Source organism: Homo sapiens, chromosome 12 (genome assembly GCF_000001405.40).
Source record: "Homo sapiens chromosome 12, GRCh38.p14 Primary Assembly".
In the NCBI taxonomy this organism is placed as follows: domain Eukaryota; kingdom Metazoa; phylum Chordata; class Mammalia; order Primates; family Hominidae; genus Homo; species Homo sapiens.
Window position 1 is genome coordinate 51,906,106 of NC_000012.12, and position 20,231 is coordinate 51,926,336.

The window sequence follows — 20,231 nt, forward strand, 5'->3', positions numbered from 1 at the left end:
AGGCCACCCCCTCCCCAGCCTTTTCATTTATTCATTTAATTAACGAACGCCTTCATTGAGGGCCTCCTCTGAGTCAGGCTCAGCCAGCCAGCATCTTTGCTATGAGCTGAGATAAGCATCATTTCCGTCTATTCTCACAACCACCCTATGAGGCTGGCACGGTTTACTATGCCTATTTAGCAGATGGGGGACTGAAGCATGGAGAGGTGTCACTAGCCTACGGTAACACAACCAGCCTGCATTCCTAGTAGGTAGTTTGACTTCAGAGTCTCTGTGGATAACCAGGAGGCTAGGACTAAGACCAGAGTCCTGCAGGTACTTAGATGGTTGGAGCAAAGCAGGGCAGTGAGGTCAGTGCTCCCAGCCTGTGCAGGAGCATCAGGAAGAGTCTGTGTCCCCCTCCCCTGCCGGTATGAAGCCATTCTGCTTCCCTCCCCAGCTGCCTTGTGTCAGCAGAGTTCCAGGGAGGCTCCATTCCCCACCTCTATCTAAAGCTCCATTTGCTGGGGTGGGGGCCCTGCCTGGAAGGGGAAGGTCCAAGGCTGCTCCCAGCGTGTCCCTCCATCCTGACTGTCCCTGGCGGGGCGGGGGTGTCTTTGTCACCCAGCTGCACAACGGCCAGGAAGGGCTCAAACCATCCTCAGGGCTAACCCAAGGCCGTCCTCTGGGCCTGTATACCCCTGTGCTGAGTGCGGATCGGGAGAGGCTGCTGAAGACAGGAGGGGACAAATGGGGGACGAAGGGGCCCGAGGGAGGGGACTGAAGGATTTGGGCCAAGTCGGGAGTTCCCGAGGGCGGAGTCAAAACGCATCTGGATTTTGCTAGCCCCAAACTCTGCCCTCATTGCTGCAAGCCTCCTAGACCGAGGACCCCCGGGCTGAGGGTGGGGTAAGGATAGGTAGTGTCCCTCCCCGTCCCACCCCCGCCTGTCCCTTCCTCGGTGGCCCCTTCCCGGCGCCCCGATTCCAGGCGGCCCCTCCGCTGCTGCCAGCCGATCCCCCTCTACCCCCACCCACTACTCCGGCCGCCAGACGTTGCCTACAGTCTCGGCTCTGTCTCCCACGGCTGTGGGTCCGGACCCCACGGGACCCCTATGGGACCCCCACAGGACCCCCACGGCCTGAGTCCAAGGCCCGCCCCCTCGGGGAGGCGGATGTGGGAGGCCCGGCCCGGGTGCGGGCCAGCGACCCGGGAGCTGCGGGCGGCTGGGAGGGGAGGCCGCCCTGAGGGGCTGGGAGCGGCGCGGGGGTGGGTCCCGGTCCTGCAGCCCCAGCGAGGGGCGAGCGGCGGCCAGTCGGCGAGCTGGGCAATAAGGAAACGGTTTATTAGGAGGGAGTGGTGGAGCTGGGCCAGGCAGGAAGACGCTGGAATAAGAAACATTTTTGCTCCAGCCCCCATCCCAGTCCCGGGAGGCTGCCGCGCCAGCTGCGCCGAGCGAGCCCCTCCCCGGCTCCAGCCCGGTCCGGGGCCGCGCCCGGACCCCAGCCCGCCGTCCAGCGCTGGCGGTGCAACTGCGGCCGCGCGGTGGAGGGGAGGTGGCCCCGGTCCGCCGAAGGCTAGCGCCCCGCCACCCGCAGAGCGGGCCCAGAGGTGAGTCGAGGTCCGCGGACGGGACCGGGTGGCGGGCGGCCTGACCCCCGCTTCAGTGGGCCCTTCCTTCGGGCGGACCCCAGAGTCACCGCAGAGTGGTCGCGGGAGGCTCAGTCCCAGCTCATTAGAAAGGCAAGCTGCTCCTGGCTGACCACGCACAGCTCCCATGACCCTACCTGAGACTTGGAGGGGAATGGACGAGACTGGACTGGAAATCAGAAACTTGGTTCTAGTCGGGTGACCTGGGGTCAGTGACTTCACTTCTCTGTTCTCCTACCCTCTTCATAAAATGGGCAGTGGGATTCCTGTCTTGCTCTACTCACATAGAAGGGATCACACGTCCTCCAGGCCGCTGGGTGGACCTGGAGTGAATGCCTACTTCCACAGCTGTTGAGCCTCCCAGCAGAGCTCACCTTTCCCAGATCAGTCCTTCCAGCTGTTGCTTGAGGAATCTGACACTATCACTCCAACCTAGGAGTCTCACCCTAGGCGCGCATGGTCAGTCACCTCCTTGCCACGACCTTCCTTCAGGATCCAGGCCAAAGGGGATCCCAGTCTCCCCCCAGGCTGGGACCCCAGATTTTTCCATGGAGGCCAGTGCTGTGAAACCCATGGCTGGGCTGGCTGCCCCAGCTCCTCTTTCCTTCTCCAAGGACAGGGGCATAATGGACAGTTGCTCTCACTCTCTCTATGTATGGCCAGCTTCTGGCTGAGTCAGGGTCTGTCCTAATACCTGTCCTCTCACCTGTCCCCCCATTTCATTGGTTTGTTAGAAATAGCTACCATTGATTGAGTACTAACTATGTAGACACTTAGATATATATATTTTTTCTCATGTAATCCTGGCCGCAACCTAGTGGAAGAGGGGTTACTATCCCCTTCCTACAGAAAAGGAAACAGACATGAATATGGGACTTGTCCAAAACTCCTTGGATGGTGGGGTGAATGGCATGGTTGGGGTCTTGATAACATTTCAGTGCTTACTGTGTACTACTTATACTCTGCTAAATAATTGTACTACATTTTACCTATGAGATAACACTATTATTATTCCCACTTTACATATGATGGGAAGCCTAAGCCTCAGAAAGTTTAAGTAACGTCTCAAATTTCATACCTCTAAGTGGCAAAGGCAGGATTTGAACCCAGGTCTCCATGCTCCAGAGCCCACACCCTAACCTCTGTGCTACACTGTGCTGCCTCCATGGTCTGCCTGAGACCTGAAAATCCAGGCATCACCTGGATGTTCCACTGCATCACCCCGCTGTGAAGGGCTAATAAATCACATGGATGAATCGTAAGGGCAACCCAATATGAACAGCTGGGTCTGCTCCTCTGCTGTTGGGGTAAGGCCTACTGAAGTGCAGAGTGAGTCCAGAAGGTTGTGCTTGATATGGCGCTTCTCCAGCCCTGTGAAGATCACTGCTGTGCTGAGCCACTGCCGTTGATGGGAGTAGGTTTTATCAATCCTTCAGGTGTGCTAGGGAGAAAAACATTGATAAGCACCTTTCGGGCATACCACTACTCTGGCTCTCCCCACCTGAGGCTCAGACTTTGACTAAGCCTATGGCAAACAGATGATTTCTGGGCAGCAACACCACCTTTGTTGCCTGGGTCAACATAGTGAGACCCTATCTCTACTAAAAATAAAACTGGGCATGGTGCTGCACCCCTGTAGTCCCTTGGGACTTGGGAGGCTGAGGTGGGAGGATCACTTGAGCCCAGGAGTTCAAGGCTACAGTGAGCTATGATTGCACCACTGCACTCCAGCCTGGGCGACTGAGCAAGACCCTGTCTCAAAAAAAATTAAAAACAAACAAAAACGCTGTCTTCATTTAAACAAATCTGAGTAGGGCACCCGTTAATAACAACAGTAGTGGGCAATTTGTACACGTCCACCGAGACCCATGTCTTTTTCTTCCTTTGAGGGACTCATCTAACCCCAAACAACTGGAGGAATAACAATGACCAAGGAATGATTTATTATCAGCAATTTAAGTTTATTAAGACACGCTCAGTGACTATGGACAAGAAACTGAACATCTCTGAGCCTCACTTTCCCCCGTTGGACTGTTGTGATGATTAAATCAGATAAACCATTCAAGTTCAGTACTTAGCACATAATTAGTACTCAGAGAAGGTTAACTGTTATTATTAAGTATTTCATAGTGTTTAGCTAACGTTTGAAATTAGTTTAACGTCTGTAATTTCTGGCCAACAATAGTGATGCTTCTGTCAGCAGGAGATCTTTCACAAAGTTTTGCTTAGAAGTGAAAGGATCCTGCCAGGCCCCAGGAGTCTGTCTGTGCTACAGTCAGATTTCAGGGTAAATCGTACAGAGTCAGCTCTGAGTTTGGACTGGTCGGGACTCAGCATCCTCCTGTACTTGATCTCACACTGGGTCCAGTTAAAAATTGGACAGTCCCAATTTTACTCCATCACATTCCCAGGATTAGACCATAGATGGGTTCTGCAGATGCAGACAGCCTCGCTCCACAGTGTCACCACGTCCCAGCTTTGGTGTTTACCCTTGGCTGTCCCTTCTGTAGTAGATGGGGAGTATCCTGGGTGGGAGTGAGTGTCCCCTCCCTCTGCATCCCACTCCCACTCACCCAGCAGGGCCCTGTACAGCAAAATGAAAGCAGAGGAACCAGACTTAGCGTTGTGCCCACACAAACTGATCAGAACTCCCTGGGGAACTTTTAAAAAATGCATGTTTCTTGCTGATTCCAGGACTGAATCAGAGTCTGGAGTGAGGGTGAAACCAGTGAATATGCTTTTCTCAGTGAGCACTTCAGGTGATTCTGATGCGTGATAAAGTAGAAGGAGGGTGGACTGGGGCACGGCCAGAGAAGTAGAGGTACGGACAGAGGATCCTAGAGGAATGCCGGATTTTAGCCTTATTGTTAGCCACTTTTTCCTTTCCACCTCAAACCCTCTCCTTTGCAGCTTTCTGGGCTAGCAAAGGCTGCCAAGGATGGCTTCCTGCTAGTACCCCAGTGGGCAGATTCAGCTCCTCTAGGGTGCTCTCTCCATCCCATCCCACCGTCAGTCCTGCCGCACAGTGCTAGCCAGAGTCCTCACTGGCTGCGGGAGGGGCAAGAGGCAGGAGGTCAGGCAGAGGCTGGGGACACAGCTGCAGCAGCCCAGGGCTCTGTTTCCTCCCCCAGCCTGGGCCTCTGGGGCAGAGGAAGCCCAGGCAGGAAGGCCAGGCCTGCCACCAGCCAGAGAGGCCTATGAAGCCCCCCTACCCCACCCCTAGCCATACTGCCCTCAGAGCCTCAGCATCTTGGGTCTTCATTTGGCACCATTCTTAGACTATGGGCTTTCTGAAGCCTCTGTGGCCATGTGCCCAGCCCTGTCAGGCTCACCATGTCATGCCAAAGGACAGTCTCCCTGCCTTGTGCCCTGCCTGAGGATCCAGTCCCCAGACACACACCTGCACATGCTCCACCATTCAGAAAGTCCTGTTGCTGTCTGACCAGGGTCCTTCTTGCTGCAGCTTTAGCCAATATCTTCTGGTTCTAAACCTGTGAGAAATGAAGACTGGGTGGCTTCAGAAGCACTAGTTGGTGTGGGACCTGGATTGGGGACTATCATAGACCAGAATTACTCCCCCTAACACTCTCCAACAAACTTCTGGAAAAGTTCAACCCTAGTCAGCCATGGAAGGTCAAACATTCAGTGTCTAAGTGTGTTTCACTTCCCCTGCCACATCACTGGCCCTCCACCCACCCTTTCCTAGATGGCAAGGGGAAAGAAGGGGGCCAGGGAACAGCTCCGAGAGGGCAGCTTATACTCTGGTGAGCTTGCAGAGAGGTTTCTCTACACCTGGCATGACCCTGCCCCGTCCGAGCTTTGCATGGTTGTTATAGCCCTGAGGGCTCAGACATGGGCTGCCACCACTGGATAGGGACAGAGCGAAGAGAGCACTTGATTAGGAGTCTGGAAACCTGGGATGTACGCCTGCTGGTGCCAGTGAGTCCTGTCTGACCCGGGACAAGTCTTCTTCCCTGTATGAGCCTTACTCCTCTCTTCTGTAAAACAAGGAGCTGGATTTTGTGATTCACAGGATGTCCACCTAGAATTCTGTCATGTGGGTGTCCCAGGCACAAGGAACTAAGGGTAGCAAGGAACTAAGGGCATATTTAAAAAGCCCCTCCAGACCTTGTGGCTGCTGCAGCCCACCCTGAAAATATGCCCTCAGTTCCCTGCTGTGCGTGACTCCTGCCTGTTCTATCCAGACCCCAATCTAAACAATCTTGATTCCTGTTCCTGGCTTGGCAGGACCCTGAATGGCAGGAAGCGAAGACAGGAGCCTGTTTATGTTTGAGGCAGCCAGGGCTGGGGGGGCATTGAGAAAGGGTAGGCAGGGGTGGAAGCTGTGAGGGAGTGGGAAAGAGACACAGAACAGAAGGGGAGCTGCTGGAGAGATGCTCCTTCTACCCCAATTGGGTGCTCCCTGCGGCTCTCCCAACCTGCCTGCAGTCTGAGCTCAGCAGCAGGAGTGCAGAGCTAGGGTTTCCCCAAGCTCTCAGTCACTTAAACATTGCTCTCCACCCTTCACCTCTAACAGGATGGTTTCCATGGGGAAGTGAACCAGGACTTCCCCTGCAGGCCCCGCCCCAAAGCCAGGCGGCAGGGAGTAGGGAGGCGGCCTCCCTGCCTCCCCTCCAAAAAAAACTCTGTGATTTCCTCTGGGCAGGAGGGAGCCACGGCCAGCGGCTGTCACACTTCATGGCTCTTACTCCACCTCTCTTGCTCCTCTCTGCAGGGACCATGACCTTGGGCTCCCCCAGGAAAGGCCTTCTGATGCTGCTGATGGCCTTGGTGACCCAGGGTGAGTACTGGGGGAGCAGTTAGGAAACAGGAACCTGGATACAGAAAGGGCTATCTGGGCCCAGATCAGCTCTGCCTGGGGCTGAACTTGAGAAGCTGGGGAGAATGTAGGAGCTTGACTGGAGAGTGGAGGACAGTGAGGCTCCATTAGACTCAGTCCCCAGCTACCCCAGCCCTCCTTTGCTCTCCTCTTGATCCAGACCTGCAGGCTGGAGCTCTGTCAGACTAGGGTGGAAGCCTATATGTGGGGTGGAGGGAGAGCAGGTGTTGGCAGGCCAAGCCTGGGAGAGCACTCAGGGCTGGGGCTGGGGGCCCAGCCCAGCCTAGAACTGGGAGGGGAGGACCTAGGAGCCAGGAGGGGACAAAAGCCTGCTTTTCAGAGTGTCAGCTGCTCTGAGGGGAGGGTTCTGAGGGAAGGATGACTGAGGATGAAAGTAAGAGACCAAAGCTTCAAGGTGTTTGTCTGAGGGGTCAGACGAGAGGGACAGTAGGACAGAAATGGGTGTCGGGCTCAGCCTGGGGGAGCTGGGACCACAGTGGCTGAGCTTCCGGTGTGTCTTCCAGGAGACCCTGTGAAGCCGTCTCGGGGCCCGCTGGTGACCTGCACGTGTGAGAGCCCACATTGCAAGGGGCCTACCTGCCGGGGGGCCTGGTGCACAGTAGTGCTGGTGCGGGAGGAGGGGAGGCACCCCCAGGAACATCGGGGCTGCGGGAACTTGCACAGGGAGCTCTGCAGGGGGCGCCCCACCGAGTTCGTCAACCACTACTGCTGCGACAGCCACCTCTGCAACCACAACGTGTCCCTGGTGCTGGAGGGTACGTCCAGCTGCCCTAGCACTCCCTCCCCATCTTCTTGGCCCCTGCCCTCCCTTCCCTCCTTTCCTCTCATGCTCTGGCCAATAAAGGGGCTGGGGGCGGGGGAGCGGGTGGGCAGGACTCTGGGATCTAACTGGCAGAGTGGTCTGGCCCGAGGTGGGGGGAGCTGACCTAGTGGAAGCTGAGCCTCAGTGTCCCCCTCCCTCAGCCACCCAACCTCCTTCGGAGCAGCCGGGAACAGATGGCCAGCTGGCCCTGATCCTGGGCCCCGTGCTGGCCTTGCTGGCCCTGGTGGCCCTGGGTGTCCTGGGCCTGTGGCATGTCCGACGGAGGCAGGAGAAGCAGCGTGGCCTGCACAGCGAGCTGGGAGAGTCCAGTCTCATCCTGAAAGCATCTGAGCAGGGCGACAGCATGTTGGGGGTATGGGCCTGGGGACCTGGGACACAGGGTGTAGGAGGGGCAGATAGGAACTGCAGAATCAGAGGGGTCACCCAGAGATTAGAGCCGGTGGGGAGCTGGGCGAGTGAGGAGCTTGCAGTGACCCAGCAGGTCCCAGGTCGAGGATAGAGAAGGGGGCTGTGGCTGGTTGTGGCAGCCTCTCAGTGGCCTCTCCGTACCCCCAGGACCTCCTGGACAGTGACTGCACCACAGGGAGTGGCTCAGGGCTCCCCTTCCTGGTGCAGAGGACAGTGGCACGGCAGGTTGCCTTGGTGGAGTGTGTGGGTGAGCAGTGGGTGAGCCCGGTGGATGAGGACCAAGGGCTCTCATGAGCCTGGAGGGGTGAGGGAGTTTTTGGCTACTGGAATCACAGGCGGTGCCAGGCCTGGGTCAGAATTGGAATTCTGCTGGGCAGGGAGTGGGCTGGAGACGGGCCAGGGCTAGGTTCTTCTTTCTGCAGGACCGGGGTGGAACGAGAGGCAGCTGGGGGTGGCCTGCCACTGGGTTTGGGTCTGGATTAAGTTAAACCTAAGGGTCTGGGGTTCTGTGGGTGGGGTGGGCGAGGGAGGCAGCGCAGCATCAAGATGGGGGGCTCTTCCAGGGCTCTGTGTGCCCAGTGTGTAACCCTCACCTTCCCCTCTGGCCATCAGGAAAAGGCCGCTATGGCGAAGTGTGGCGGGGCTTGTGGCACGGTGAGAGTGTGGCCGTCAAGATCTTCTCCTCGAGGGATGAACAGTCCTGGTTCCGGGAGACTGAGATCTATAACACAGTGTTGCTCAGACACGACAACATCCTAGGCAAGGGGAGAGGCCAGCTGTGCCAGGCCTGGGGCTTTGCCCCCCTGCACTCAGGGCTCAAGTTTGCAGACCTCCAGACATTAACAGAACCCTGAAGGACTCTCAGCCCACCTGCAGCATCAACCTCTTTTTTTAATTTAATTTAATTTAATTTAATTTAATTTAATTTAATTTAATTTTTGAGACAGGGCCTCGCTCTGTCACCCAGGCTGGGATGCAGTGGTGCAATCTCACTGGAGCCTCAATCTCTTGAGCTCAAGTGATCCTCCCACTTCAGCCTCTTGAGTAGCTGGGACCACAGGCATGTGCCACCATGCCCAGCTAACTTTTTTATTTTTTGTAGAGACGAGGTCTCCCTATGTTTCCCAGACTGGTCTCAAATTCCTAGGCTCAAGCAGTGCTCTTGCCTTGGCCTCCCAAAGTGTTGGGATTACAGGTGCAAGCCACTAAGCCAGGCCCAGACCCAACCTCTGACTCCAGCTCTGTCTCTGACCTAAGCCACATCAACCCCCACCCCCAGACCTAGCTTAGCAGTGACCCAGTCCATTCCCTCTCCCCCAACCCCACCCTGACCCTGACGACTCCAGCCTCCCTTAGCCCCAGCCCCTTGGCTGAGTCACCCAACCTTTCTGCACACAGGCTTCATCGCCTCAGACATGACCTCCCGCAACTCGAGCACGCAGCTGTGGCTCATCACGCACTACCACGAGCACGGCTCCCTCTACGACTTTCTGCAGAGACAGACGCTGGAGCCCCATCTGGCTCTGAGGCTAGCTGTGTCCGCGGCATGCGGCCTGGCGCACCTGCACGTGGAGATCTTCGGTACACAGGGCAAACCAGCCATTGCCCACCGCGACTTCAAGAGCCGCAATGTGCTGGTCAAGAGCAACCTGCAGTGTTGCATCGCCGACCTGGGTGAGCCGGGCGGGGCAGGGGCGCGCCCTTCACAGGTGGGCGGAGCTTGTGCGCTCTCCTCTCCTTTGCCTGTGGGCGGTGACCATGATTAGCACTTGAAAATTTAGAGGTGCATGTTGTTTCAGTTCTCCTCCGCAAGACCCCACGAGTTGTCTGAACACCCTTTTCAAACCCAGATTCCTTCCACCATACCATCCTGGCTCCAGGAGTTGGGAGAAAGGAGGCAGGAGCCAGGAACCTGGGTTCTCATCCTGGTTTCGCCAGCCTCCAGGTCTGCTCTGTGAAGTGGGCTCATAATGCCTGCCTTGCCCACTCACATCTCGCTGGGTTCTTGGGAACCTAGAGAGCACTACACAAGCAAAGAGTACCTGGGGCCATGGTTCTCTCTGTGGCCACTGCCTTCCAGCCCATCTCCGTGCACGTCTCCATCTGCCTTCCCCTCTCTGTCCCACTGTTTCTCTCAGTCCCCACCTTGCCTGCCCCCTGGATCCCAGGTTTGGGAGAGGGGCAGGAGTGACAGGCCTCACCCCCACAGGCCTGGCTGTGATGCACTCACAGGGCAGCGATTACCTGGACATCGGCAACAACCCGAGAGTGGGCACCAAGCGGTACATGGCACCCGAGGTGCTGGACGAGCAGATCCGCACGGACTGCTTTGAGTCCTACAAGTGGACTGACATCTGGGCCTTTGGCCTGGTGCTGTGGGAGATTGCCCGCCGGACCATCGTGAATGGTGAGGGCCCACCCTACACAGGGTAGGGAAAGGGGAATCAGCCTGTGGAGCCAGGGGCTTCCAGCCATGGCCAGTGCCCATGGCCTGGGAGGTTTGCAGTCAGACCTCCTGGCACCCCTTCCATGCTGCCCACCAGCTGGTTCAGCTGAGTGACCTTTTAAGGTATAAACCTTAAAAACAGATAACAGGGTCTGTGAGTCTGGCTGTGAAATCTTGGGTACATGATAATAACAGAAATATTAATAGCAGCTAATATTGATTGAGCTTAAATATGTGCCAGATGCCATGCTATGCACTTTACATGTATTATTTAATTCTTTGGTATGGACAAGGCAGTGGTATTGCTTAGTGGCTAAGAGCATAGGCTTGGAATCAGACTTCCTGGGTTCTATTCCTGATCTTGCCATGACCGTGCGTAGGTTATTTGACCTCTCTGTGCCTCAGCTTCCTCATTTGTAAAATGGGTGCGATGGCTCATGCCTGTAATCCCAGCACTTTGGGAGGCCGAGGCAGGCAGATCACCTGAGGTCAGGAATTCAAGACCAGCCTGGCCAACATGGCGAAACCCTGTCTGTACTAAAAATACAAAAATTAGCTGGCTGTGGTGGCACACACCTGTAATCCCAGCTACTCGGGAGGCTGAGGCAGGAGAATCACTTGAATCTAGGAGGCAGAGGTTGCGGTGAGCCAAGATCATGCCACTGCACTCCAGTCTGGGCGACAGAGTGAGACCCTGTCTCAAAAAAAGAAAATTTATTAAAATAAATAAATAAAATGAGAATAAAAATAGCTTCCAGTTGTTGAGATAATCTAAGTATTTAGAACAGTATCTAGAGCTAAATATTAGTGGCTGTTATTGTTGTAGATAGAATGAGTGCCTGACATCATATTGTCCCCATTTTACAGTTGAGGAGACGGGGGCACAGAATGACAGTGGGCTTGAGGCAGCATCAGGGTCCGAAACCGGGCAGTCTGCCCCGGGGCCAGTGCTCATCATCACTGTGTGCACTTAAACCTCTCTGGCCCTTGATTTCCTCATGCACGCAATGCATGTGAGTGCCTGCACTGCCTGCTTATTGCTGCCTGGTTGTTACTGTGGGTTGCCACAGGGGACTCTGATTTAGAGGGACTGCGACAGGTAGAGAGACCTGCCCTGGGCAGGCAGCCCTGAGGTCGATGTTCTCTCAGCCCTGGAGTGGACGGAGGATAGGTGGGTCGTCTAGACTGGTGGGAGCATTGTCAACCTTTGAGGAGGCTGTCCATGGTGAGGGACTTCCAGGAGTCGTGACAGGTTGGGGACAATCCTCAGGATATGGCTGGAGCCCTGCTTCTTGGGGACAAGGATGTCCTCATTTCCTGAGCATCTACCAGGAGCCAGCCCCATGCCAGACTTCATTTGTCCTCGGTGGTCATCAACTGAAAACAGAGGCTGTGGTGTCACCGGTCCCTTGGGGAGACTCACGAGGTGCTTAGATTCCTCAAGACTCCGGGCATGAATTGCCAGAGTGGGCTCTAAGGAGACCGGGATCGGGGGAAAGAGGAACCTGGAAGAAGCCAAGGCTCCTTGGACCAGGCTGCAGGGCAGAAAGGAAAGGCTGGGAGGAGGCTGCCTGGGGTGGAGGGGGAAGCTCCATCAGCCCCACACGGACTCGCGGCGCATTATAAACACTGTAATCTGGTGTCAGCCCCGGCACTGATTAAAGGCCCATTAGACACATTCAGGCCTCTGTGCAGCACTGATTAGGGCGTGAGCGGCACAGGGGCCGGCCTGGAAGCTGGCCATGGGGAGAACAGCTGGCGAAGGCTCTATCGAGGTTGCGGCCTGTGTGGCCATGGCCCCCAGCCTCAGGCTGGGAAACAGGATGGGGCACGGGGCTGTCTGCGGCTCCACCGGCATTGTTTTCAGAAAGCTCCTACTAAAAACTGTGAACTTGGGATACCAAGAGGAGGGGGTCAGTGCTGGCTGCAGGAGTCAGCAGAGGCCTGTGCCATCCCTGACACTGGGTGATGTTATGTGGACCTGGGTAAAAAGATAAGTGCAGCTCAGAGGTCAAGAGCACATGCTTTGGTGTTAGACTGTGGGCTTAAATCCTAGCCCTGTCACTTACTATCTGTTGATCTTAGACAAGTTTCTTAAACTCTCTGGCCTTCATTTCTTGGCTTATAAAGTGGAGCTCATAGTATTACCTACCTCATAGGGCTGCTGTGAGGATTTCATGCAGAGCTCTTAGGACAGCACCTGGCATACAGTGCTCAGTAAACATTTGGTGTTATTATTATCAGGCATGTGTGATAGTTGGGGCCTGGGAGCAGTCCCGGGCACTGGGTGGAAGGCAGCTGAGGGAAGACTGGAACAAGGCTGGCCTAGGAATCCGAGATGGGTTTGAGTCTTGCCTCTGCCATTACTAGCTGTGGAACCTTGGGCCCCCCTTCTCTGAGCATCAGTTTCTTCATCTGTAAAATGGAGGTAATACTAGTACCCACCCCACAGGGCTGTTGTGAGGACAAACAGGATAAAGCATGTAAAGTGTTTACAGCAGAATATCTGGCACATGCCATGTGCAAAACAAATGGCAGTCATTAACATTAGTTAGAAACACATTTATTGCATTATACTGTCCCTCTCAGGGGTAGCGTGTCCAGGCCACTGGTTTCTGGCCCTTGGATAGAGGGTAGAAAAGGCTCTCCTCTGGGTGGTATTGGGCCTCCTTAGAGTCCCAAGTGATTGTCCTGTCCATTCTCCATTTCCAGGCATCGTGGAGGACTATAGACCACCCTTCTATGATGTGGTGCCCAATGACCCCAGCTTTGAGGACATGAAGAAGGTGGTGTGTGTGGATCAGCAGACCCCCACCATCCCTAACCGGCTGGCTGCAGACCCGGTGAGGCCTCTGCTGGGACTAGGATGGCGTGGGGTGGTGGCTCATGGCTGGGATTTCTGGGCCCAGGAACTTGTGTCTGAGGCCTCTGCTTCATCTCATAGATACTGAGTGTCCTGGTTAGGGCACCTCTCTAGGTACTCCCTCTTTCAACCCTGGCCCATGCTCCCTGCCCCCAGGGCCATCTGGTCATTCTGGGATTTTAAGAACCTTCACCTTCCCTGTGAAAAGTCAGAGGCTATCTGTGGCTCTGTGTGTGTGTGTGTGTGTGTGTGTGTGTGTGTGTGTGTGTTTGAGAGTCAGGGTTTTGTTTGCTCTTGTCACCCAGGCTGGGGTGCAGTGGCACAGTCATAGCTCACTGTAACCTCAAACTCCTCGGCTCAACTGATCCTACTGCCTCAGCCTCCCCAGTAGCTAGGTGTAGTGCACACCACCACACCTGGCTAATTTTTAAAATTTTTTGTAGAGACAAGGTCTTTTATGTTGCTCAGGCTTATCTCAAACTCTTGGGCTCAAGTGATCCTCCTGCCTCAGCCTCCCAAAGTGTTGGGATTATAGGTGTGAGCCTCCACACCTGACCACTGTGGTATTTTTGTTGCTATTTGTCTTTGTTTGTTGCTGTTTTGTTGTTGTTTGTCCTTGTTTTTTCTCAAAACACTTCACTTGTACAAAGACACACACACGTATATCAACACATACAAGCGTGAATATCCTTCTGAACATACACTCACAGAAATATACACATGCGCATATATGCCAGACTGTTGGCCCCGTGAGGACAAAGAACGTGTCTTTTGCTCACCCTTATGTCCCTATTACCTATCATAGTATCTGGCTCACAATAGGTGCTAATAAATATTTACTGAAAGAATGAATATATTCTATACATGTATACATCTATGTGTACATAGACATACATTTCTGTACAACATATCCGCAAAAAGCCACATGTATGCATTCCTGTACACACACACATACACTCACTTTCAGGAGCCAGAAGTGGGGCCAGCTCATTTCAGGCCCTGGGATGGGTTGATGAGCTTCCTGGGATGGGTTGATGAGCTTTTTGGGATGGGTTGCTCCCTGGACACTTGCATTTTTAGGGCAGTTCCCACTTCCACAGTCCCCTGGGCCCAGCCATGGCTGATGGAGGGGCTGGAAGACACTGCCCTCTGCACTGGGGTCTTAGGCTGTGGATGGGGATGTGGGAGCCCCCAGGCTTGAAGAATCGGCCCCTTCCTATGGATCTTGGCAAAGGTGGGGATGGGGGTAAGGTGTTTCACAGACACTGCTTGCCCAAGGGGGCTTGAGTGCTCCTGAAGATCTGAGTTCTCTCTTTCTGTCCGCCCTGTCTTTCTCCATCCCTTTCTCACTCTACTCTCTTCCTCTTCCATTTTTTATTTTTTTGTCATCCTCTGTTCTCTCTCTCACCACTTGTCTTTCCTCTCGCTCTCCTTTCCAATGCTCTCATCTCCCTCCTCTCATCCTTTCTCTCCTGCTTATGTCTCCCCATTACCGGCCATCCTCCTCATCTTCTTCCCATCTTCTCTGACCCACCTCCCTCTGCATCTCTCTCCCGACCCCCTCCTCTTCTCTGCATCTCTCTCTCTGCCTCCTCTCCTCTGCACCTCTCTCCCAACCCCCAGGTCCTCTCAGGCCTAGCTCAGATGATGCGGGAGTGCTGGTACCCAAACCCCTCTGCCCGACTCACCGCGCTGCGGATCAAGAAGACACTACAAAAAATTAGCAACAGTCCAGAGAAGCCTAAAGTGATTCAATAGCCCAGGAGCACCTGATTCCTTTCTGCCTGCAGGGGGCTGGGGGGGTGGGGGGCAGTGGATGGTGCCCTATCTGGGTAGAGGTAGTGTGAGTGTGGTGTGTGCTGGGGATGGGCAGCTGCGCCTGCCTGCTCGGCCCCCAGCCCACCCAGCCAAAAATACAGCTGGGCTGAAACCTGATCCCCTGCTGTCTGGCCTGCTCAAAGCGGCAGGCTCCCTGACGCCTGGCTCTCTCCCCACCCCTATGGCCAGCATGGTGCACCCCCTACCACTCCCGGGACAGGATGCAAAAGAGGCTCCAGAGTCAGAGTGCCAAGCCAGGGAATCCCAGTCCCAGACTCAGAGCCCGGGCCTGCACTTTGCCCCCTGCCCTTGATCAACCCCACTGCCCCACCAGAGCTGCCAGGGTGGCACAGGGCCCTGTCCAGCCCCTGGCACACACTTCCCTGCCAGGCCTCAGCCTCTAGCATAAGCTCCAGAGAGCCAGGGCCCATCAGTTTCTCTCTGTGGATTTGTATCTCAGCTCCATGATGCCTTGGGCTTTCTGTCTCCTCAACAAGAGTGCAGCTTGCTGAATGTCAGCTGCCTGAGAGAGCTGGGGCCTGACTTACTAGGGCATTAAATCCTAAGAGGTCCTACTGAGGTGTGGCAGGATCACAGGCCAGTGGAAAAAGGGCAGGTCAGATGGGCAAGGCCCAGGACTTTCAGATTAACTGAGAGGATATCGAGGCCAAGCATGGCAGGGGGAAGGTCAGTGGGTGTCAAGAGACCCAGGTCTGACCCCGGATGTTTGCTCCATGTGACAAAAGCAGGCCTGTCTCAGGACCTTTTCTTTTCTTTTTTCCTTCTTTTTTTTTTTGACACGGAGTTTCGCTCTTGTTGTCCAGGCTAGAGTGCAATGGCATGATCCCAGCTCACCGCAACGTCTACCTCCCAGGTTCAAATCATTCTCTTGCCTCAGACTCCCGAGTAGCTGGGATTACAGGCACATGCCACCATGCCTGGCTAATTTTGTATATTTAGTAGAAACAGGGTTTCACCATGCTGGCCATGCTGGTCTCGAACTCCTGACCTCAGGTGTTCCACCTACCTCAGCCTCCCAAAGTGCTGGGGTTACAGGTGTGAGCCATCGCGCCTGGCCAGGACCTTTGTTTCTTATCTACATATTGGAAGATTTGGTCCTGATGTCCTTTGAGGCTTCTTTAGCTCTAGTTCTCTGACACTTCAGCCTATATCACAGCTAACTTCTTCAGTCTCATCTATTCCTTATGCTCCAGCCCCTGGCAATTTGCCTCAAGATGGGGGTTTGAAAATAACTTTACCTGACTCAAGGAGTGTCTGGAGCACCTCCTAGTCTAAGTCTGCAAGCTCCAGTTCTTGCCTAAAACCATGCCAGTGGCCACCCTTGGGCTCAGACAGCTCTGGGCCTTTTGACCACAAGCCAGCCCCTCGCCCTCTCTGTGGCATAGTCTTCTCTGCCCCAGGACTGCAGGGCGGCTTCCTCCAAGGCTTCCAAGGCTCAAAAGAAATTTGGCTCCATCCAAGAAGGCTCCAGCTCCCCTACTGGCCCCTGGCTCAGGCCCACACCCCTGGCCAGGCCCAGAGAGTGTGTCTCAGGAGAATTCAATGGCTCTAGAGAGACACACAGAAAGTTTGGCATTTGGAAATTTCAAGGATGTATGTATGCTCACGTATGGAGCAGGTTGTCCTGGTCCCTGGGTGCAGGGAAGTGGGCTGCAGGGAAGTGGATTGGAGGGGAGCTTGAGGAATATAAGGAGCGGGGGTGGAGACTCAGGCTATGGACAAGGACAGCCCCAAGGTTGGGAAGACCTGGCCTTAGTCGTCCTCAGCCTAGGGGCAGGGCAGTGAAGAAAGCTCTCCCCGCTCCTGCTGTAATGACCCAGAGTAGCCTCCCCAGGCCGGCATCTTATGTGTGTCTTCCACCATCCTCATGGTGGCACTTTTCTAGGCCTGTCTCCCAGCATTGTGCAAGGCTCGGAAGAGAACCAGGAAGTGAAACTGGGTGAAAACAGAAAGCTCAATGGATGGGCTAGGTTCCCAGATCATTAGGGCAGAGTTTGCACGTCCTCTGGTCACTGGAATCCACCCAGCCCACGAATCATCTCCCTCTTGAAGGATTTTATTTCTACTGGGTTTTGGAACAAACTCCTGCTGAGACCCCACAGCCAGAAACTGAAAGCAGCAGCTCCCCAAAGCCTGGAAAATCCCTAAGAGAAGGCCTGGGGCAGGAAGTGGAGTGACAGGGGACAGGTAGAGAGAAGGGGGCCCAATGGCCAGGGAGTGAAGGAGGTGGCGTTGCTGAGAGCAGTCTGCACATGCTTCTGTCTGAGTGCAGGAAGGTGTTCCAGGGTCGAAATTACACTTCTCGTACCTGGAGACGCTGTTTGTGGGAGCACTGGGCTCATGCCTGGCACACAATAGGTCTGCAATAAACCATGGTTAAATCCTGAGCTCCGGAGTCTTCCCAGGCCGATGCCTCTGCAGTGGCCCGTCGCAGAGGTCCAGATAAAACCAGAGGGATCCGGGGAGAAGAGGGTCCCAGGATACACGCCCAGCTTTGCCCTTAGACAGGTCACAGTTTCCTCACGCCCCTGCTCAGACCCCCGCGGGGGCCCAAATCTCAGTTCCTACCCCAGATTGGGAGCAGCCTAGTCGCCGCACCTGCCACGTCGCCCTCTGCTGGCCGAGGGCTGCCCAGCGGCCGCCTCCCATCCCCACACAGGGACCGCGGGGCCTTTCCCGGCAGGGTGGGGCAGCCTTCCCCGCACCCGGGGGCCAACGTCTGTGTGCTCACTGACTTGCTGTTCTGCAGGGACTGTCCCCCTAATACCACACCTAGCGAAGAGCGTTCTGCTTCCGAACCGGCAGCTTGGACCCTCCCTCCTCAATTCCTTGTTCTCACTTCCCTTCTCAAATGGGGTCCCCATCTTGCCAGGAGTCAGTCCCCATTCCCAGCATGGGAAGATCCCCTTCCCTGGGGACCTACCTTGTCCTGGGATCAGAAGGCACTTCACACACACATCCCATTCTCACACCCGGAAATTCGGGGCGGGGACATGCTGTGGGGGAGGCAGATACTAAAAGAAGCTGAGAGGGTCCTGGCCCATGGGACTGCCCAGCCTAGAAAATCTGTGCCTTCGTGTTAGACGCCCTCTTAGGGAAACATAGGAAGGGTACACCTTACACCACAGATGACCTTGTGGTCCCTTGCACCCCCAAGGCGGCCTCATGCCTGGAACCTCCTACCCTGGGTTCATGGATCCCCCAACAACACAGCGCCTTCCCAGAGGATTCGGGCACCCGGCCTCAGACCAGCTTTGACGAAATAGGAGCGTTGCTAGCATCCAGCAAAGGCAGCCTTTCCCCTTCCCCTGTGCCTGCCAGACTCTGTCCTTACGTCCTCCCCATGATGTCCAGGCTATGGTGGGAGAGTGGGGAGAAGGGCAGTGGGGAAATTGCAGAGAAAGGGGTACGTGAACGCTGAGCAGGATCTGCGGCAAGATTGGCTCACTGCTCTCCAGTTCTTGCGAAGAGCCCTTGGGAAGTCACCCCGTCCGAGCCCCTGCCTACAAGTAGACCTCAGGGAACCTGCCTGCCTTTGGAGGAAAAAAACCTACTGCTCACTTTACTTCTCTGCAGCTTTGCCCTGACTTCCTCAGGGACCCCAGGCCCCAATTTCCCTATCTAGACAAAGAGGGAGAGGACCATCTGTGTGGTAAAGGCCCTCCCTGAGGGGTGATAGGTGCTATAGCATGCCACAGTGGGGCTGAGGGTAGCTCCTGGAATATGAGCCTTGATGTGGAGGGCCACCCCTTCCCCTGCCAAGGCCTCACCAACAGTTTTTCTCTCCACCCTCCAAGGCACCATCCTCCCTCAGTCCTGCCTTGCACCAGCCTCCAAGGAAGGTGCTGTTTCCTCCATATCCTCACCAACATTAAGATCAACAGCCCAAGAGATGGCAAAGTCCTCACGCCTAGAAGTCCCTGTCCTGGGGGAGGAGTGGGGGGTGCATGTCCTGCGTCCAGTCTCCCAGGGCTGGGACTGATGCTAGCTGTGTAATCATCACTCTGGGTGGGCGACTCTTGGAATGAGCTGCTTCCACCAGGGCCACATTCAGTTTGCTCGAAATAGAGACAGAGGGCTTCTTGACTTTGCATATGATTTGCATAATGTCATAGACACACAGTCTATTTTCAGGCAGTTTTCAGGTTAAAGTGTTGTCACTGCTGCCCTACAGGGTGTCATGTCTGGATGAGTCTCTTCTCTGTTCTTTCTCACCCACCCACTCTTACTGACCTACATCCCCAGCTGCAGGAGCGAATGGTGAGGCAGGGGGAGAATGGGGTTGTCCAGGGAGACACATGGGCAGGGAAATCAAGGGAATTTCCTTATTACCAGCATCACCAGAAACAGAATCTGGTTGCTCAGGGTCAACTGATAGGAAGAGGGTAAGGAATGGGAAGTCAGGTAACCCATCTGCTGTTCTGCACAAACCCTTCCCACCTCTCCTACCAGGAGAACAGCCAGTTCCTGTTTCTCTATTCAGTCTTCTGACAGTTTGAAGAAAGATGTCTAGATAGATAAACCTGTTTCTTTCAGCCACCCATAAAGCCTTGCTTGGCCCAGACATCCCTCATGGGCATTTATTTTCAGCGCTAAGATTAGATCTTCACCTCTTGGGAAATCTGACCTGCAGTCTGTTCCTCTCCTGGGAGCCTTATCTGAGAGATAAGGATCATAGTCTCATGATCAATATTTTTGGAGCACCTGGCACACAGTAGGAGGTCAGTCAGTGCTGGAGTCCCCTCCTCTTCTTCATCTAGAGGTCTGTACCAAGTACCTCATTGTCCCAGGCCTGGATGCTCGACACACACACCAGCCTCTGAGGGCTCAGATGCAGAAACAGACTTACAAGGGCCAGTTGAGGTGACTGTCACTAAGTTATCTGGGACCTTGGCCAGTTGCTCGGCCTCCTCATCTGGAAAGGAGGGGGATTGGTGATTGGTGGAGACTAGGGGCAAAGACAATTCCTATATTATAGCTTGAGCTGTTTGGCAACCTTCCTTGATCACAGAGGGTCAGGGCTGGAGCCCCACCCAGGGCTCCCTCCTGTAGACACTCTGGCTTTGGGGCATGTCTGGTGTGCTGTCTTCCTGTGTACATCAAAGGATCCACCAGATGCCAAGGCAAAGAGCCTGAGAACCTTACTGGGTCCTGGGAAAGGGGAGACCACTTGGTCTGGCTGCCCAGCCGCCACGCACTACCCAGAATTCCCTGTCCCATGTCCAGCCCCCAGGACCTGCCTCATCCCCTCAGGCAGGCGTTTCCTGTTGATAAGAAGCTCCGTCACAAACACTGATAAAGACATGAAAAAAGGAAATCGACAGGCTTGGGTATAATGGGCATTTTGTCTGCCTTTTCTACC

At 55.0% G+C, this 20,231-nt stretch overlaps 1 protein-coding gene across 12 annotated transcripts, besides 6 other annotated features; it reads left to right on the top strand.

Annotated features, from left to right (window-relative positions):
* On the top strand, positions 839–17,256 carry ACVRL1 (activin A receptor like type 1). Of its 12 annotated transcripts, none has more exons than XM_047429901.1 (11): positions 839–898; positions 1,392–1,590; positions 6,365–6,430; positions 6,994–7,245; positions 7,454–7,665; positions 7,869–7,968; positions 8,334–8,480; positions 9,120–9,395; positions 9,931–10,128; positions 12,880–13,010; positions 14,654–17,256. In XM_047429901.1, the coding sequence occupies exons 3-11, from the start codon at positions 6,370–6,372 to the stop codon at positions 14,786–14,788; spliced, it is 1,512 nt and encodes a 503-aa protein (XP_047285857.1). In that variant the 5' UTR covers positions 839–898; positions 1,392–1,590; positions 6,365–6,369; the 3' UTR covers positions 14,789–17,256. The 12 variants fall into 12 exon arrangements, with proteins under 12 accessions (XP_047285857.1, NP_001393416.1, NP_000011.2 ...); NM_001406487.1 differs by having other exon boundaries at positions 839–888; NM_000020.3 differs by lacking the exon at positions 839–898 and having other exon boundaries at positions 1,399–1,590.
* Positions 1,560–2,068: an enhancer, noted in NCBI's record as "H3K27ac-H3K4me1 hESC enhancer chr12:52301449-52301957 (GRCh37/hg19 assembly coordinates)". NCBI's record gives its function as "activates a minimal SCP1, AML or CMV promoter by ChIP-STARR-seq in primed H9 embryonic stem cells {active_cell/tissue: H9 hESC(primed)}" and the evidence as "EXISTENCE:reporter gene assay evidence [ECO:0000049][PMID:30033119]".
* Positions 7,218–8,051: an enhancer, noted in NCBI's record as "H3K27ac-H3K4me1 hESC enhancer chr12:52307107-52307940 (GRCh37/hg19 assembly coordinates)". NCBI's record gives its function as "activates a minimal SCP1, AML or CMV promoter by ChIP-STARR-seq in naive H9 embryonic stem cells {active_cell/tissue: H9 hESC(naive)}" and the evidence as "EXISTENCE:reporter gene assay evidence [ECO:0000049][PMID:30033119]".
* Positions 8,697–9,583: an enhancer, noted in NCBI's record as "H3K4me1 hESC enhancer chr12:52308586-52309472 (GRCh37/hg19 assembly coordinates)". NCBI's record gives its function as "activates a minimal SCP1, AML or CMV promoter by ChIP-STARR-seq in primed H9 embryonic stem cells {active_cell/tissue: H9 hESC(primed)}" and the evidence as "EXISTENCE:reporter gene assay evidence [ECO:0000049][PMID:30033119]".
* Positions 11,842–12,414: an enhancer, noted in NCBI's record as "H3K27ac-H3K4me1 hESC enhancer chr12:52311731-52312303 (GRCh37/hg19 assembly coordinates)". NCBI's record gives its function as "activates a minimal SCP1, AML or CMV promoter by ChIP-STARR-seq in primed H9 embryonic stem cells {active_cell/tissue: H9 hESC(primed)}" and the evidence as "EXISTENCE:reporter gene assay evidence [ECO:0000049][PMID:30033119]".
* Positions 16,911–16,960: an enhancer, noted in NCBI's record as "active region_6385". NCBI's record gives its function as "activates an Ori minimal core promoter by ATAC-STARR-seq in GM12878 lymphoblastoid cells {active_cell/tissue: GM12878}" and the evidence as "EXISTENCE:reporter gene assay evidence [ECO:0000049][PMID:35858748]".
* Positions 17,746–18,577: an enhancer, noted in NCBI's record as "H3K4me1 hESC enhancer chr12:52317635-52318466 (GRCh37/hg19 assembly coordinates)". NCBI's record gives its function as "activates a minimal SCP1, AML or CMV promoter by ChIP-STARR-seq in primed H9 embryonic stem cells {active_cell/tissue: H9 hESC(primed)}" and the evidence as "EXISTENCE:reporter gene assay evidence [ECO:0000049][PMID:30033119]".

What these genes read in the sequence shown, in the direction of transcription:
- ACVRL1 (XM_047429901.1), top strand. Translation starts at nt 6,370, where the DNA reads ATGACCTTGGGCTCCCCCAGGAAAGGCCTTCTGATGCTGCTGATGGCC. An exon ending in CGTGTCCCTGGTGCTGGAGG is followed by an intron (nt 7,246 to 7,453) that starts GTACGTCCAGCT and finishes CCCCTCCCTCAG; the next exon opens with CCACCCAACCTCCTTCGGAG. An exon ending in CCGCCGGACCATCGTGAATG is followed by an intron (nt 10,129 to 12,879) that starts GTGAGGGCCCAC and finishes CTCCATTTCCAG; the next exon opens with GCATCGTGGAGGACTATAGA.